The sequence below is a fragment of the Homo sapiens genome, chromosome 14 (assembly GCF_000001405.40).
Source record: "Homo sapiens chromosome 14, GRCh38.p14 Primary Assembly".
NCBI classification, from domain to species: Eukaryota; Metazoa; Chordata; class Mammalia; order Primates; family Hominidae; genus Homo; species Homo sapiens.
Genome location: NC_000014.9, coordinates 63998020 through 64016448, shown reverse-complemented (window position 1 = coordinate 64016448; position 18429 = coordinate 63998020). Strand labels below are relative to the sequence as shown.

The 18429-nt window shown below is 39.3% G+C and overlaps 1 protein-coding gene across 29 annotated transcripts in view; it reads right to left on the bottom strand.

The window, feature by feature from the left end:
- The window catches only part of SYNE2 (spectrin repeat containing nuclear envelope protein 2), a 464854-nt gene that overhangs the window by 210001 nt on the left and 236424 nt on the right, over positions 1 to 18429 (bottom strand). For all 29 annotated transcript variants that reach the window (XM_047431152.1, XM_011536576.3, XM_047431149.1 and 26 more), the window contains 7 exons: positions 18121 to 18230; positions 17409 to 17535; positions 15730 to 15887; positions 14368 to 14515; positions 13119 to 13729; positions 9227 to 9406; positions 6333 to 6483 (listed from right to left, as the gene is read on the bottom strand). In XM_047431152.1, the coding sequence (XP_047287108.1) occupies positions 6333 to 6483; positions 9227 to 9406; positions 13119 to 13729; positions 14368 to 14515; positions 15730 to 15887; positions 17409 to 17535; positions 18121 to 18230 (1485 nt within the window). The remainder of the gene's footprint in view (positions 1 to 6332; positions 6484 to 9226; positions 9407 to 13118; positions 13730 to 14367; positions 14516 to 15729; positions 15888 to 17408; positions 17536 to 18120; positions 18231 to 18429) is intronic.

Below are 18429 nucleotides of genomic sequence, written 5' to 3'. Positions count from 1 at the left end.
TTCTGATATTTTGATATAGACAAACAGCTAAGAATCACAATTCTATTGTTGGATATTGAGCTTAAAAACAATACCCAACAAAGCATAATACCTTCTTACATTGTTCTTTTTTAAAGTACGTTTTTATCGTCCCACTTTCTCAATAAAAAGTTTTTAGCATCCTAACCATTGGTTCAATGTTAACCCTATACTCAAATTTCATCCCACTCTGCATGATGAAATTTTTATAGTGGTCTAAAACCATATTTCTTGTCCATGTGAAATAAGATTCTATCTGCCAAAAAAAGCATCTGCATTCAATGGCATTAAAAAAAAAAGTCCCTACATCTGCCTAATAAGAATCATCTTTTTAATATCAAAGAACCTAAGCACTTATCTGAATAAAATAAACAGAACTCTAAGACATCTTGGATTCTAACTTTATCATTTCTAACATAAAAGGCAAAAATGCTACTTTATCAAAACGAAAATCTCCAATCACTGGGAAACTGAGCAACATACTTCTAAATACCAGTCAAAGAGGAAGTCTCAAGAGAAATTTTTAAATACATCAAACAGAATGAAAATAAAACATGAAAACTTGTATAGCACAGTCAAAGTATTGCTGAGAGGGAAATTTATAGCACTAAATGCATACATTAAAAATGAGGAAAAGTCTGAAATCGATAATCTAAATGACCACTTCAAGAATCTAAGAAAAGAACAAAATAAACCCAAAGCAAGCAAAAGGAAGGAAATAATAAAAATTAAAACAGAAATCAATCAAGTTGAAAATACAAGAACATTAGGGGAAAAAAACCAATAAAATAAAGAGCTAGTTCTTTTAAAAGATCAGTAAAATTGATAAACTTCTAGAAAGACGGACAAAAGCAAAGACAGAAGAAAGCAATACAGTCCTAGGAATGAAATAGGGATACCACTACAGACACTACAGACATCAAGCAGATAATAAGTTAATGCTACAAATAACTTTACACACACAAATTTGAAAACTTAGAGGAAATGGACAGATACTTTGAAAAACACTACTGCAACTCATCCAATATTAAATACATAATGGGAATTGCCCTATTAATACTAAAGAAATTGAATGAATAATGTAGAAACTCCCCAAAAAGAAATCTACAGGTCCAGATGGTTTCACTAGAGAATTTGACCAAACATCTAAAGGAGATTTAACAGCAATTATGTACAATCTCTCCTGGAAAACTGAAGAGAAAGAAACACTCCCAATTAATTTTATGAAAGCCAGTTTTACAGTACCAAAAAAGAAACTACAATATCTCTCAAGGATATTTACACAGAAATCCTTAATAAAATATTAGCAAATATAATTCAGCTACATATATATATATACACGTTATATATATATACATATATACACATATATATTTATATATATACATATATACATATATATTTATATACATATATACACATATATATATTTATATATGTGTGTGTGTGTGTGTGTATATATATATATATATATATATATATATATATATATATATATATAAGGAATTATACACCATGACCAAATAAGGTTTATTCCAGGAATGCAAGGCTAGTTTAACATCCAAAAATCAATCAATGTAACCCACCATTTTAACAAGCTAATGGAAATAAATTATATAATCATGTCAGTTAATGCAGAAAAAGCATATAAAATGGTAAAACCGCTCTGAAAAACATTTTGACAGTTTCCTTAAAAAATAAACATGCAGGCCTGGCATGGTGGCTCACGCCTGTAATCCCAGCACTTTGGGAGGCCGAGGTGGATCACAAGGTCAGGAGTTCGAGACCAGCCTGACCAATATGGTGAAATCCCGTCTCTACTAAAAATACAAACAAATTAGTTGGGTGTAGTGGCGTGCACCTGTAGTCCCAGCTACTCAGGAGTCTGAGATAGGAGAATTGCTTGAATCCAGGAGGTGGAGGCTGCAGTGAGCCGAGATCGTGCCATGGCACTCCAACCTGGGCAACAGAGCAAGACTCCATCAAAAACAAACAAACAAACAAAAAAAACCCATGCAATTAACATATGACCCAGCAAGCACACTCCTGGACACATCCCTGAGAAATAAAAACTTATATTCACCAAAGACTCCTTTACAAATGTTTACAGCAGCTTTATTCATAATAGTCCAAAATTGGAAAGAACCCAGATGTCCTTCAGTGGGTGAATAGTTAAACTGTGACACATTTATACCATGGAATACTGCTCAGCAACAAAGAGGAACAAACTATCAATATATGGAAGAACCTGAATGAATCTCCACAGAATAATGCTATGTGAAAATAGCCAATCCCAAAAAGTTACATACTATATAATTTCATTTATAAAATTTTTAAAATATTTTTTAACATTTTTAAAATAATAAAATTATAGAAATAGAGACTATATTAGTGGCTGTCTGGGATTAGAAGGGGTGGGAGGAGGAGGGAAGTGGATGGGGCTAGAAAATGGCAATAACAAGAATCCTTGTGGTGACAAAAATGTTCTTTATCTTGACTGCATTGATGTCAACATCCTGATTGCAATATTCTATAGTTTTACCATTGGGGAAACTCAATACAGGATACCTGGGATTTGTTTGTATTATTTTTATATGTGAGTTTACCATTATCTCAAAATAAAGGCTAATTTAAACATTAATATTAAATAAAATATTTAAAATGAAAAATCAATAACTGGGGAGGTTTGTCTTCTAACTAGATGCTGACTGATACATCGGCAGAGCTGAGATCAAAACCCAGGTCTTCGTTCTCCTGGTTCAGAACTCTGCACTGGAACACAATAAATGTTTGTCCACACAGGTGGAACTAGAAGCCATTATCCTAAGAGAAATAACTCAGAAAGTCAAATGCCGCATGGTCTCACTTATAAGTGGGAGCTAAACAATGGGGGCACACGGACGCATGGAGTGGAATAATAGGCCTTGGGGACTATAAAAGGTGAGACAGTGGGAGTGGGGTGAGGGCTGAAAATTTACCTATTGGGTACAATGTCCACTATTTGGGTGATAGGTTCCACTAAAAGCCCAGACTCCACCATTACACAATATACGCATATAAGAAATTTGCACTTGTAACTCCCTAAATATACAAAAAAAAAAAAAAAATTTAATGAGGAAAAAAATTTTTAAGCAAAAATGTTTGTTCAATTAAATTTAAAAATTTTCATTTAATTGATATACTTCATTTATTTGAACAAACTAAATTTTTTTGCCTGCAAAGAACTTTCTTGTTAAACTAGCACAAGCTTCCACCGGATGATGAGAAAAGAGAGTATACTTTTAGCATTGGCAGAACTATGGGTTTTGTTTTACAGCGAATGGAAGGAGTAAAATAAAGGGAACTAGGCCCACTTTGATATTTCCAAACTTTAATAGTCTCCTGACATTCCAGCCTTCTAGTCTAACTTTTTGCACTTCTGTCTTTCATTAAAGAGAGTAGAACTTTGTCACCATATCCTAGATAAACATCCAGGTTACTACAGTTTTGAAGGACAAAAGTTCTCAGTGGTATCATATTCCAGGCACTGCTGCAAAGCAGGATAAAGATCCATGCTACAGAAATGGACTGTTTGTGAAGATAGTACCTATGTCATCACAAAATTAACTGAAAGTTATGTTAACAATTAGTACTAAAATCTGCTTTTTTAGACAGTTTTTTAAAAACCTGACCAAAGAATTAAACAATAGTGTATTAAAACTTCTATATCTTTCATACAAAATAATAGATTATTTCAAGAAACATATGAAGTACCCATATACTAGAGGTACAATTCTCATTTTAATAAAATAAGGAAAGCTGGGACTGTTGCTTCTTAAAGGTAGTTATAATTATTTTATTAATTTTAAAAATACCTTTTGCAGTTGAGTAAGGAGTACAGACAAAGCAGAGTTTTAATTAATTTTTATTTCTACTATATACACACTTCAAATATGTCTTCAGGGCAGGCAGTTTTACGCAGTGATTGAAACAGTTAAATAACAAGTTTAACATGGTGGATTAAATATATATGTTTGTCTCTGTTTTCTCCCCACATGCTACTTTAATAACAGAAAAGAATTTAAAATGGTACAAACCAACAAGCACACAGAGAATAGAGGATAAGAATACTCTCAGGTAGAAGGTGAGAAGTTGGGAAGCTGGAAAGCTGAAAAATGAGTGGTAACTGACTCACCAAAACTAAAGCTGAAACCTTGGTCTAGGAGGAGACGAGGTAGCGGGGAGGGTGCAGAGAAGCCAATAAGAAGCAAGGCCATTTGTGCCATAGAAACTCAAAAGGCTAGAAATGACTTCAAGGTAATCATTAAGGCAGAAACACAGCCACAAACAGAAAGACTGGATGACATTTTTTAAGAGAAACATATTTAGACTCTCAGGCCCTCCTCCACCCGATTGAATGGAATCCCTCCATACCCACAGAGATTGACTTTCTGGGGAGGCTCTGGACTTGGGGCTGCCAAATACAGCTGAGGACAGAGGTGAGGTCCAGTTATGATAGCCACAGAGGAGCTAACGATGGCAGAAAGACCAAGACCTGGGCCTAGATTCCGATTAGGGAGACTCACCCAGGAATGGAGTCAGCTCCCTGGAGGTGACAAGAAGAAGTTTATTAGTCAGATAAGTAACTTATCTAGAAAGTATAGTTTATAGTTATAAGGTTATACAGTTATGGGGTAGTGGGAAGAGCAGCAGACAGGCCACACGCAGCATGGGGCATCATAACTGACACTTATCAAAACAGGGCTAAGGAAAGGTGCCAGAAGTGAGGAGGATTTGCATGAACAAGAAAAGCTGCAAGTCAAGAGGGACTAGATATCTGGGCAGCATACAAGGAAGGGTCTCAAGGTCTGTTGAATAAGGCAGAGACTTTGATCCTAAAACAAGAGTACAAGGTAGGAGACTGCTATCGGGGACACGGCAGAAGGGTGGCTATGCGAACTGGGACACAAGCCCGAGAGGATCTGGTAAGGCTGAACATGCTGGATTCTCTAAGAACCTAGGAAACCAGAGCTCTTTAAATCTACTGAAAGAGGACAGGACCCTTCTAGATCCCAAGATGAGCCAAATCCAAAAGCTGCCTCCACCAGAGGGAACCAGACAGGTTACATCTAAGCAACTGTGACTATCTGCTCATGGTCTTGACAACTTTGATTAAGTCTGACAAGAAATCAGCTACACAGTCACATACTGTACAGCTGGTATCTAAACAGGGCTGCTTCCGACTGGCCAGCTCTAAGAAACTAAGTCTGAGAAAGTGGGTCCCAGACAAGGGCCATTCCTGACACTCTGGGTGTCATTTGAGCTTCAGGGTTAATAGTTCTAGATAAGGACTAAATTGTCCTATTTAAGCTTTCACTGATGCTGCTCTTGACAACTGGAAAGTTTAATAAAATTGCTTTCCAACCTCCAAGTATATCAAGCAAACTACATTTCACATACTTTTAACACCCTGACAGCACTTTAGCTTAGTACTCGTAAAATCAATAGAAAAAGGCCAGGCGTGGTGACTCATGCCTATAAACCCAGCAATTTGGGAAGCAGAGGCAGGCAGATCACCTCAGGTTAGGAGTTTGAGACCAGCCTGGCCAACACGGCGAAACCCTGTCTCTACTAAAAATACAAAAATTAGCTGGGCGTGTTGTTGCGCACCTGTATTCCCAGCTACTTGAAAGGCTGAGGCAGGAGAATCACAGAGAGGGGAGGGGAGGGAAGAAAGAAACTTTCTGGTGTAGAGTCATATAGTGCAGTATAGTATATTCTTTTCTAACTATTCCATTCTTCTGCCACTCTGGTTGATAACCACATAAAACCATAGAAAATAATGACACCTAGTGTCCAAAAATATTACTCTTCTTAGAATATAAACATAGATGGAGCAAAGTGGTAATAAGCTTGCACATCTTCACAGAAAATCAGTAAATAAAAGCTAATTTTTCCTCACTCTACTAACAACAGAGAGGATTTTCCCACCGTCTTCCTTCTGTCAAGCCTGCAATGAAGGGTCAGGTTCCTTGTAAACAGAAAGTCAGTGCAAAGGCTGTTACAACCTCACAGAGGTGGCAGCAGGGGTGAGCAGAAACACAGCCCCAGCATCAAAACCCAAACAGAAGTGACCCACCATCAACTTGGTGACTGTTTCTTTTTTCCAGCCCTGGTGATGAATACAACAAATTTTTAGATACCTGGTAAAATAGGGTCACTAGTAACTTCTTTTAAACGAAGTTTCAAAAAAGACTTAATCTATAATATCTCTTTACTACCAGGCCTGTCAGTGAGGTCACTGGGCAGTTTTTTCTAATGGAACCTGGACTCACCTCTGCTATCCTTTTCTTCAGGTTCTCCTTTCCCATGTACGAAGCCTGCAGGGAGATGACACTCTCTTCTTTTTGAATCAAAGTTGTCAAGATGCTTTTAAAATTCTGATATTGTTTTAAGAGCTCCAAAACTCTCCCACATTGTTCAAGACTAAGAATAGAAAAATATACAATAGCTAAATGTCCAAAAATAGCAAAACCGTTCTTTCTCTTTGCAAGTATCCCACATAAATGATGAATAAGGTGTAAAGGACTTTTCCTCTTGATGTGGTTCTTAATACTTTTTACCAATTTAACCTAAGAATGATGGCACATCAATATATCTGGCAAATAGATGGCATAATCTCTAGATTAGTACTGTCACTAGGTGAACATTAAAAAGTTACCAGATGTAAGGTCTAGAAAGAAACACAAGATTCATCACCCTAAGGAATCAGCATCTCAATTTCATCATTAACCAAAAGACATCTCAGAAAACAGAGCCCCTTTAACATAACTCTGGCAGATTATTTCAATATTAATTCAGCAAGTCACAGGGTGTTTATATATCTATTCTCTTTTTTTTTTTTTTTTTTTTTTTTGAGACAGAGTCTAGCTCTGTCACCCAAGCTAGAGTGCAGTGGTGTGATCCTGGCTCACTGCAACGTCCGCCTCCTGGATTCAAGCAATTCTCCTGCTTCAGCCTCCCAAGTAGCTAGGATTACAGGCAAGTGCCACCATGCCTGGCTAATTTTTGTATTTTTAGTAGAGAAGGGGTTTCATCATGTTGGCCGGGCTGGTCGTGAACTCCTGACCTCAGGTGATCCACCTGCCTTGGCCTCCCAAAGTGCTGGGATTATATATAGGTGTGAGCCACTGTGCCTGGCCTTTTATATATCTATTCTATTCATTCTGGATTTAGTCTTTTTTAAAACGTTAAGGTAGTGAGACAATGTGGCAGTTAGGACACCTGGTTTCTACTACATGTGGGCACTGCTTAGTCTGAGACTCTGGATAAGTTACTTTAGCCTCTTTGAATCTCAATTCTTTCCTCAGTAAAATCAGAGGGTAGACTAGATCAAATACCACATACAGGGTTCATCTTGACTCCTGTACACTCAGGTTCCGGTAGGAAACAGGAGGTGTACCCAAATGGAATTCTGAAGAGAGAATCAGAATTCTGAGAGCAGAATCAGGGGAAACTGCCAGGGAGGCCGAGGCACACAGGGATTAACCCCCGCAAATAGGTCATGCCACTCAGCCTCTAGGAGAAAGCTGGGGAGATGCCCCAAGCCACACAGGATGGTGCCGTCAGGTGGTGTCAGAACCACATGCGGAAACAAAGCGGGATGGTGAGACCACCCTGGCCTCTCTTCTTCCCCTCTAATACCCCCCACTGCCTAACCCTGCTGGAACCCTCAGCCTGGGCAGTTCAGCCTGTAGGGATAACCCATTCCACCACTCCCCACCCTCATGTAGATAGTAAGAGGGATGGACAGAGGATATTCCATGGAATGGACAACTGGACACACAAGCAATCATATATAAAAAACTGAATCCCTCCAAAGCAGTCTGGCAAATTAATAAATAATATCAAATATTTTTAAAAAATAAGAATTGCCAACTGGGACTGATAGGTAATGGTCTTCACAGTTTCAAAAATTTTTGCAACTAGCCCCAACTCTGCAGGAAACGCAGCCGTTATTGACAGGCAACATCTCCCATTCAGGTAGGGGCGTGTGGTAAAGTAATGCTCCCAATTCCCAAAGATGTCCTGGGCCTAATCCCTGGATCTTGTGAATGTTACCTTACATGTTACCTCACAAGGCAAAAGGGACTTTGCAGAGGTGATTAAGCTAAGGATCTTAAACTACAGAGATTATCCAGGATTGCCCGTGTGGGCCTGGTGTAATCATAAGGGTCCTCTTGAGAGGGAGGCAGGGAGAGGTGTCAAAGGAGACATGATGACAGAACAGAGGGCAGAGAGAGATCTGAAGATCCTGTGCTGCTACTTTAAAAATGGAGGAGGGTGACACAGGCAAAGGAATGTAGCAGGAGGCCTCTAGAATTGGAAAAGGCAAGGAAATGAATCTTGCCTAGAGCCTCCAGAAGGAACACAGCTTGATTTTCTTTTTTTTTCGAGACAGGGTCTCACTCTGAAGTACGGTGGTGCTATCTCGGTTCACTGAAACCTCAACCTCCCAGGCTCAAGTGATGTTCCCACCTCAGCCTCCTGAGTAGCTGGGACTATAGGCACATGCCAGCATGCAGGTTACTTTTTTTATGTTTTTTAGAGATGGGGTTTTGCCATGTTGGCCAGGCTGGTCTCGAACTCCTGACCTCAGGTGATCCGGCCACCCCAGCCTCCCAAAGTGCTGGGATTACAGGCATGAGAACTGTGTCCGGCCAATTTTTTTATATTTTGTAGAGATGGGGTTTCACCATGTTGGCCAGGCTGGTCTCAAACACATAGGCTCAAGCAATCCTCTCACTTCAGCCTCACAAAGTGCTGGGATTACAGGTGTGAGCCACCTCACGCAGCCTATTTTACCACTTCTGACCTCCAGAAGCATAAGGTAATAAATCCGTGTTCTTTTTAAGCCACTAAGTTCGTGGTGATTTGCTTGGTGATTTACAGCAATAGGAAACCACCCCAGTTGGGATGGTAATGAGCATAAACGGACTGTACTGTGTATGTGTTATGCTTCGTGGAGAACCTCTTTGCTGCATTCTGGCTATAATCTACAATTCTAGGTCTTGTCCCAGACACTGGCCCTGTGAACTCCAGCAGGAAATCCTTATGTTTGTCCCTCCTTTGGGTCCACGGAGATGTGTTTTCAACCCAGAAGTTTGAAAAAGTTAATTGTGCTACAGACAATTTTTCAGATTCAAGAGGGATTCTTTTTTTTCCTTACCATTCGGTGACCAAGGCTTTGGTATTCTCCCACAAGACTACTGTATTTTGGCACTGTTGATTCACGGTTTTTTCTCTGCCATCTTTGAAGTGTGGAAGAGAATTAGCCATTTCTTGTAAATGTCTCTTCTCTTCTTCATATTCATCTAGAACCTTATCCAGTCTGATTAATGATTTTTTCCTTGATTATGAATGAGAAAAAAGTTTGATAGCCAACTGTTAACCATTGATTCAACACAAATATGGGTAACTTGGGGAGGCACACTAACTTTAATTTGTCCTCATGTGGTTAATGCCAAAATTACACATTCCTGTTACAGAGTTCAGGAGGCTCTTTGCATTTCCAGAATTTTTCTGATTTTTGTTTTGTTTTGTTTTGTCTTATTTTGTTTTGCTGGAAACAGGGTCTCACTCTGTCACCTACGCTGAGTGCAGTGGCGCAATCTCAGCTCACTGCAGCCTCAACCTCCCAGGCTCAAGTGATCCTCCCACCTCAGTCTCCCGAACAGCTGGTACCACACGTGCGAACCACCACGCCTGGCTAATTTTTCTTTTTTTGTAGAGATGGGGTCTCACTATGTTGCCCAGACTTGTCTCAAACTCCTGGACTCAAGCAATCTCCCTGGCTCAGCTTCCCAAAGTGCTGGGATTACAGGTGTGAGCTACCGTGCCTGGCTGCATTTCCAGAATATTAATTTGGTGCTTTAAATAAATATAATAAATATACAAAAACATTAGCATTAACATATGTCTATGATGAACACACTTGTAAAAGGTGTATACACACGAGAGAAAAGAGAGAGAGACAAAGCGCATACGTGTGCTTATGTAGGGGGAAGACAGCATGATATAGGAGAAGAGGAGAAGGTGAATGACCAAGAACTGCAGGATCCTAAGGAGGGATGGGGCGGCCAAGGAGGAAGGAAAAGACAAAGGAAATCTTTCATTTCTCCGTTATGTACAAAAAGCTCTCCCTATCAAAAAGGAGTTATTTAAGGATAAAGTAATACTGGAAGGATTAACACCATTCACCTAAATCTAAATTGCTAAACTGCTCACAGCCTCTACTTCCTAGCCTCCAATTTTCTCTTCAATTCACTCCCATAAGGTTTTCATTCTCTACTGCCTACTGAAACAGCTGGCCTCCACATTGCAAAATCCCTGTTCCACTCTCAATCTTCACTTCGCTTCACTAGTCAGCACATTTGGTCACTTCCTCTTTGTTGAGATGCCTTCTTCAGGTAACCCCAGAAGTCTCTTGATTTTCATCCTACTGTACTGGCCTCTCCCTTCTCAGTTTCTTCGGCTAGTTCCCCCTCATCTTCCTGATCTCTCAATAAGGAGTGCCCCTGAGTATGGATCCAACTTGGACCTCTTCTCTTGTTTATCTAAACTCACTCTCCTCAGAAATTTCATCCAGTCTCATAGCTTTAAACAGCCTTGTAAAATGATGAAAACTCTCAAATATATACCTCAAGCCCAGACCTCTCTCCTGATTCCTAATGCCATGTATTTTTAAGTGTCTTATTGATATTGCTGCTTGAATGTCTAATAAGTATCTTGAATATATCATTTCTAAAACTGAGCACACCTAATCTTTCATTCAATACTGATACATTTCATCCAACACTGATAAACTTTAGTCTTTTTCATCTCAGTTAATGGTAACTCGGTTCTTACTCACTGTTCAAGTTACCACTGACACAATGGACAATGAAAGCCAAGAGCACTTGAACCCAGAGGAAGGTTCCAATGCTTGGAAGCATTCTTGACCCCAATATCTCTTTTACACCCCATGTCCATGTGTCAATAAATCATCTGGTCTCTATCTTCAAACTATATACAGAATCTCAACACTTTCTACCACATTACCACTGGTCCATGCCAGCTTCATCCCTACCAGGGATTACTACAATAGGTCAAACCAGACTTCCCATGTCTTCTCTCAACTCCTACAGTCTATTTTCAACACATTAGTCAGAGACAAAAGGTTATGATGAAAACCAAGACATTTCCCTCTGCTTAGAACCCTGCAATGACTTCCCATGTCACTTGAAGAACAAGCCAAAGTCATCAAACAGCCTAAAAGTTCCTGCATGAGCTAAGCTACATCTCCCCCTCACTGCTGCACCTTCTCACCTCCTTGCCTTTCCTCAAACACACCCGACCCTTGTACCTACTGCTGCCTCTGCCTAGAAGGCTATTTCTCCAGGTTCAAGTGGCTTGCTCTTGCCTCTCATCTGATGCCAAGGCCACCTTCTCAGTGAGGCCTTCCCTGATTACCCTGTTCAATAGCAATCCCCTCCTCCTTCCTTACATAGAATTTCTTTTTCTTTCTTTCTCTTCTTTGAGAGAGGGTCTTGCTGTGTCATCCAGGATGGAGGGCAGTGGTGCAATCGCATGCCGTGGTGGGATACCCTAAGAATGAAAGTATCATTGAGCCTGAGGGTGTGAGCATTTCAGAGGGAAAGGCACACTTGGCTACACTGAGGGCTTGGTCATCTAAAGACCCTCAAGAGACCACTGAGCCTGCGGAACTCAAGGTGGGCAGAGAAGGAGACAGAAAGTGAGACAGATTTAGAAAGGGGGGAAGAGGCCAGGCGCGGTGGCTCACGCCTGTAATCCCAACACTTTGGGAGGTTAAAGCGGGTGGATGACCTGAGGTGAGGAGTTCAAGACCAGCCTGGTCAACATGGTGAAACCCCGTCTCTACTAGAAATACAAAAATTAGCCAGGCGTGGTGGCGCGTGCCTGTAATCCCAGCTACTGGGGGGCTGAGGTAGAAGAATCGCCTAAACCTGGGAGGCAGAGGTTGCAGCGAGCCGAGATCATGCCACTGCACCCAAGCCTGGGCAACAGAGCAAGACTCTGTCTCAAAAACAAACAAACAAAAAAACAACGGTGGCTCACACCTGTAATCCCAGCACTTTAGGAGGCCAAGGCAGGTGGATCACGAGGTCGAGAGATTAAGACCATCCTGGCCAATATGGTGAAAACCCGTCTCTACTAAAATACAAAAAAAAAAAAAAAAATTAGCCAGGCATGGTGGCATGCGCCTGTAGTCCCAGCTACTCGGGAAGCTGAGGCAGGGGAATCGCTTGAACCCAGGAGGCGGAGGTTGCAGTGAGCCAAGATCGCACCACTGAACTCCAGCCTGTTGACAGAGCAAGACTCTGTCGAAAGGAAGGAAAAGAGGAGAGGACAGGGGAGGAGAAGGGAGGGGAGGTGAGGGGGAAAGAATTCCACAAAAGCGACTGTTGCTAACATTTTAGCTTTTGGAATCTGAAGGCCCTATTCCAAATGCTGGAATTAAAATGGCAGCAGGTATACAGAAGGCTGCCAACCTCAGTCTACTGCAACTCTGTTCCATCTCCAGAATCAACACTAACTTTAGATTGCCTCTTAAATTCAGTCTCCTGCCCTTCCACTCAGTTCCTACCCTAATCCTGCTGGGAGGAGGAGGGGACCAAATAACTAAGGAAGAAGCAGGGACAAGATGTGGCATATGCATCTTCCACCACTGGTTTCATTAATATCACAGCGTGGAGTCTGCCAGTCATCTGTCCTGAGGAGAACTCCACAGTAAACACACAGAAGGACAAGGGAATCGGAAGTAACTCATGTACAGTACTTTATGTACATCTGACTTCACCACTCCTTCATCCATAAGATACACTTTAAAGAGGAAAAAAATTATGCAACGTTTTGTACAGGTACAATACCAACAAAAAGGAAGTTTGCTTGAAAAGTCTACAGAAAAGAATGCTGAACACTGAATAGAGTGGGATGGAATAGAAGCAGAAAGACATAGGAAGAATTTCTTTCACCTAACAGAAGTGAAAATACAGAAAGATGTCAGTCACCTTGGATGGAAATGGATGGACAATACTTACCGATGTTTCACAGCTGGAACAGTAGGATCCTTAAGACCAATTTTACTGATTTGACTCTGCACATCTTGAATATTTTTAAGGAGTTCATTATTTTTGAAAATACAAGCCTCTAGTAATTTGTTTTCCTCAGTGAATTCCTCCTGTACCCCATAGCCATGTGTCTCAGATAACTTTATTGAAAAAGCATCAAGCAGGTTTTCACAGGAGGTGTCATCACCCCGTTCAGCATCTTTAAAGCTCATATCGAGCATCTTCAAACATTTATCCAAATGTTTGGCCTTGTCTTTCATCAGATGAATTTCTCCCTCTTTATTTTTTACTGTCAACGTATTTTCTTGTGCCACCTGTGTATCTGAGGCTGAAAGGTCTGTAACGGGCTCAGCAGAGAGTTTAGCTGTTCTGAGAGACGCCAAAAAGTCTTCCAGAGCTTTGAGAGTATCTTCACTCCTCTGCACCCTGTGGTTCATTCCTTCAAATTGTGTTTTGTATTTCAGTATAATATTCTGCATTGCGTGTAGATCAAATGGGTGTAACTCCTTTAATACAAAGTTGCCTGGCTCTTCTAAGCGGTTACATATTTCAATCTGTTTTGCTATGGAATCTTGGATATTCTAAAATAAAGATAAGAAAAGCTAAAACACTGAGGTGGAAAAAAGAAAGGCTACATGTGAGAAACTAGCCCCAAACTGCATGACTAGATTTGATCTAGAAAAATGCTTTTGAGTTTAACAAAAGGTGACAGTTTCTACCTAAGGAAACATTTTAATTACAAATGATCAATGTGCCAGCTCATGTTTCAATCCCAAAAAGAAAACAAGCACATAAATCTATTGCTTCAAAGTACATAATTAGATGTTAAACTGTTCAGAGAACAATTTTATAATCTGAAAAATGAACAAATATTTTTAGTTAAGATGGGATTTAGAATAAGAAAACGGTAGAATACGGCATTTAAGCATGAGTCTCGTATATTTAGGAATTCAGTCACTGAAGAAGGCATTCATAAACAAGGCTTCATTTTGAATTCAAAGAAAATACCTCACTATGCACTCCACGGTGCCCACCTCCAAATTTGCAAGGAATTAAAGAGTTAAGAAATAAAAAACAAGTCTAAATTACTGAAAAAAAAACTGTCATGGCTTATACTCTTAATCTATGCTATCATGAATAATTAAAAATCCATAAGGATTTATAAATCTCAAAAGACTCGATTATTCTGTAAATACACTGTGAGAACTTATATACTTACCCTTAGGTGTTGATAGATGCGATCAGCATCAATGAGATGAAATCCCTGGATGGCCATTTTATGGAGAGGCAGGTCCGAGCCACAGAGAAGAAGTGATGCCTTCTCTACAGGTAACACAAGCCGCAGTGCTGTCTCTAAAGATTCCATTCTGGGTGCAAGGTAAATCAGACATGAGGGGAAAACACAGCAGAAAGATATCCTATGAAACTGATTAACACAATTACTGAACTAAGAACAGAAAATAATTATCCAATAAACAGACATACAATGATATATACATACACATTATCACATTAATACCTAAACCCATCGATTCAAAATGCCAAAGAATGAATTGGTTGCTATATCCAAGTATTCTTTTATTTGTTCATCCATCTATCCATTTATTCATTCATTCATTCAACATACATTTATTTAGTAAGAGGCAGCAGAGCTAGGTTAACCATGACCCACTGGGCCAGACAACTCCAGCTGTTTTGGTATCATTAATGATTTCTCCTTTCACTCCAAAAAGCATCCCAATATCCAAGTATTCTTTTTTTCTTCTTTTTGTATTTTTAGTACAGACAGTGTTTCACCATGTTGACCAGGCTGGTCTCGAACTCCTGACCTCAAGTGATCCGCCTGCCTTGGCCTCCCAAAGTGCTGGGATTATGGGCAGGAGCCACAGTGCCTGGCCCCAAAGTATTCTTAGCAGTGTAATATATACCACACTGAATGGAAAATTGTTGTAAAACATACTAAGCCTTTCTCTTTTGAAATAAAAACAGAATTGTAACTTAACTTCACCTTGACAACTAAGAAACCTCATAATTATTTTAATTATTGAATAATTTGTTATATTTCCATATTACAAATATAATGGGGTCCAAAGAATAGGCACTACTGATAATAAATTGAAATGTGTGACCATAGGTAAGTAATATATAGACTCTGAGCCTCAGTTTTTTCCTATCAATATAGGAATATATGCTGGGGATACACAACCTATGTATACAAGGTCCTAATAACACTCTCATTTCAGAAATGAAGAGATCAATGCCCATAGAGTTTATGTGACTTGGTCGAATTCATGCCCAAAAGAGACAGTGGAAAGACTGTGTGGCCTCTGAACTTTGGCAGACCTTAAGTTCTACTAAGTTTCTAGCTAGCAGTGTGGCCTGGTTATATTATTAATATTTAACCTCTCTGAGTATCAGTTTCCTTATCAGCAAAATGCAATCATAATGGTAGCCTCTCTTACTGTTGTTGTGACATCCAAATAAAATAACATACTTAGTATAGCAAGAATCTTGCTTAAAATGGCATTACAGGATTTAGTGAGTTTATTAGATTCATAGTTAATAGATCTCAGAATTTTACCTGGTATTAAGAGTCATCTGAAGCTCTCTTTCTCTTTCCTTTAGTGTGTCTCTTTCCTTAATTACAAAAGGCTTTTTTATGTCATTCACATGATTTTCTAACTTCAATGAAATAATTTCAAACTCTTTCCAGCGAGCATCAGTTTCATTTTTTATGACCTAGATGGAACACATAAATTAATTTATCAACTAATGGGGTTAATAGACACAATTATTCTGTTCTTAAAACATGAGACATTCACCAACTGTGGAAGCAAACACAATGTTTCATATGTAAATGTGTTTAAAAATACTTTCCAACCACCTACAAGTGAACTATCCTTTAGGGAACAAGGACATTAACTGTGCTCTCAGAGGACCCATTCAGTAAAGTCAAGGGAGTCGACAAGGCAGCTTTCAAAGGTACCCAAACTCCCTTCCCCTAAGGTAATTACATAGAATACAATTCAGAAAAATACATACATGTAAGAACAGATATTCTGTTTTCTCTGGATAGGAAATCTTTCTTACCTTCTAAACTAAAAGAAAACTGAAGTGAACCAAAACTGTTTCTACATAAATAAGAAGTAACTTAAATTAATTTATGGTTTATAATTAACATCTATAATTCTATACTATTCCAGCTCCTTATCTTGATGCTTTTTTTGGTAAGGCACTGCTATACAATACTACTGACAGATCAGCAATCAGCAGTATAATTTGTTCTTCACTTTACCCAAAGATTAGTATAGTTTTTCTAACCAACTCATTATTCGGTCACTGGAGAAACGTCTCAAGACAGTTGCTTAATTGTGATGAAAACATGCTAAATCCATCACTTGAGCAACAGGGATTTTAACATATAAATTTTGCTTATTCAGATGAAAAATGGAGAGCAGCCAGATGGTGGAGTGACTGAGACCTGGTATAATAAGATAAAAGAAACTAGAAAACATGGAAGGATGTTGTAGGAACTACCTATGGCCCTCCATCTGTGAGGGTTCCCTCTAATGCACTCAGGGCGTGCATCAAGAATGATGCACTGCAATGCACAGATCATCTTTAATAGGAAAGATATTATTTGTAGAAGTTGTGATTTGTGTGCCAACCACTAATAGATTGCTTCTTTCTGTTGTTTCTGAGTCAACTGCAATAACTTCCACTGAAGGCTTTTTAGGAGGAGAATCCATCATTTAGAGTGAAAACTCCCTCCAGTGCCCTAAATGCCCAACATCAGACAGTCAGCAATCACTGTACAGCAATTTTAGACAATGTGATAATTTGGTAAAGATGATGAAGGACTGAAACAAACATTCAGAGTCACTGGCTGGTTGACTTTGGAGCAACCCAGGAGCAGGATGAAATTCCCTTCAAACACATTGTTTTTGATCAATTCCCTTGAAGCCTGAAGCATAAAAAGAAAGAAATAAACAAAAACTATTCAAGCCACAATATCTGGAGTACCAGATTAGAGTATAAGCAGTAAATTAAGACCCTAAACCAAAGCCTTTCCTGGGGTTGGTACCTGAAAGAAAATCACTTTATGGACTAGGGTGACACTAGAAATGCAATCCAGCAAAGAGAGTTCTTTGGAAACATTTAGCATATGTGACCTCAACAGAAAAGGGGATGTCCAGACTCACAGTGGTACTATTTTCTAATAAACAAGATAATCAGAGAAATAATATTTTTGGTAATTACCTGTAGATCTGTCAGTTTAGCCTGCAGACAAGAACTACTCCTGTCCTCTTCACTAGAGAAATCAGAAGTAATCCTGAATTTGTTGTTTTGCAGGTGGTGTTCAAGAATATCTCTGTATGTATCATACCTGGGCAAAATGAAATGCAACATCACAATAGTTAATTTTTAAAATAACACAGGCCAAGCGCAGTGGCTCACACCTGTAATCCTAGCACTTTGGGAGGCCAAGGCGGGTGGATTGCCTGAGGTCAGGAGTTTGAGACCAGCCTGGCCAACATGGCGAAACCTCATCTCTACTAAAACTACAAAAAATTAGCTGGGCATGGTGGCGGGTGTCTATAATCTCAGCTACTCAGGAGGCTGAGGCAGGAGAATCACTTGATCCTGGGAGGCGGAGGCTGCAGCAAGCCAAGATGGCGCCACTGCACTCCAGCCTGGGCGACAGAACGACACTCTGTCCTAAAATATTAAAAATAAAATAACACAAAGATAAACAAAAAACAAACAAAAAAATAAGAAAAATAAAATAACACAAAGAAATATTTTAAAATTACTGTCAACTGCGTGTGAGAAAATACCATAGAATTTCTAAGTTACTGGATCATATGCAAAATGACGACTAAATGAAAATAAAACTTTTAAAAAGTCTAACATGTTTGCATCGATGAAAGACTTCTGGTGGATTTTCCAGTTGTTTTTAAAAAGAGTTTACCTCTCTAGTAAACTATTTATAGATGCACTGTAATCCTTTTCCATAATGCTTTCTTCTTGCAGAGGCCTTAACACTGATGCCAGGCTAAACTTCATAGTGGGTTCCATTGCCTAAGGGAATATGCAAAATAGTAAACGAAATATCTTAAACATACTTTTTATCTGGAAAAGATAAATGCTTATGTTCAAAAATGTATCATTGATTCTTTATACCTCAAACCAGGAGATAATACAATTTCTTTGAGATGTCTCAGCTCAGAGAAAAGTCTTTCCGTAGGACAGAGGAGAGTCTCACCTTCTAACTGGTATG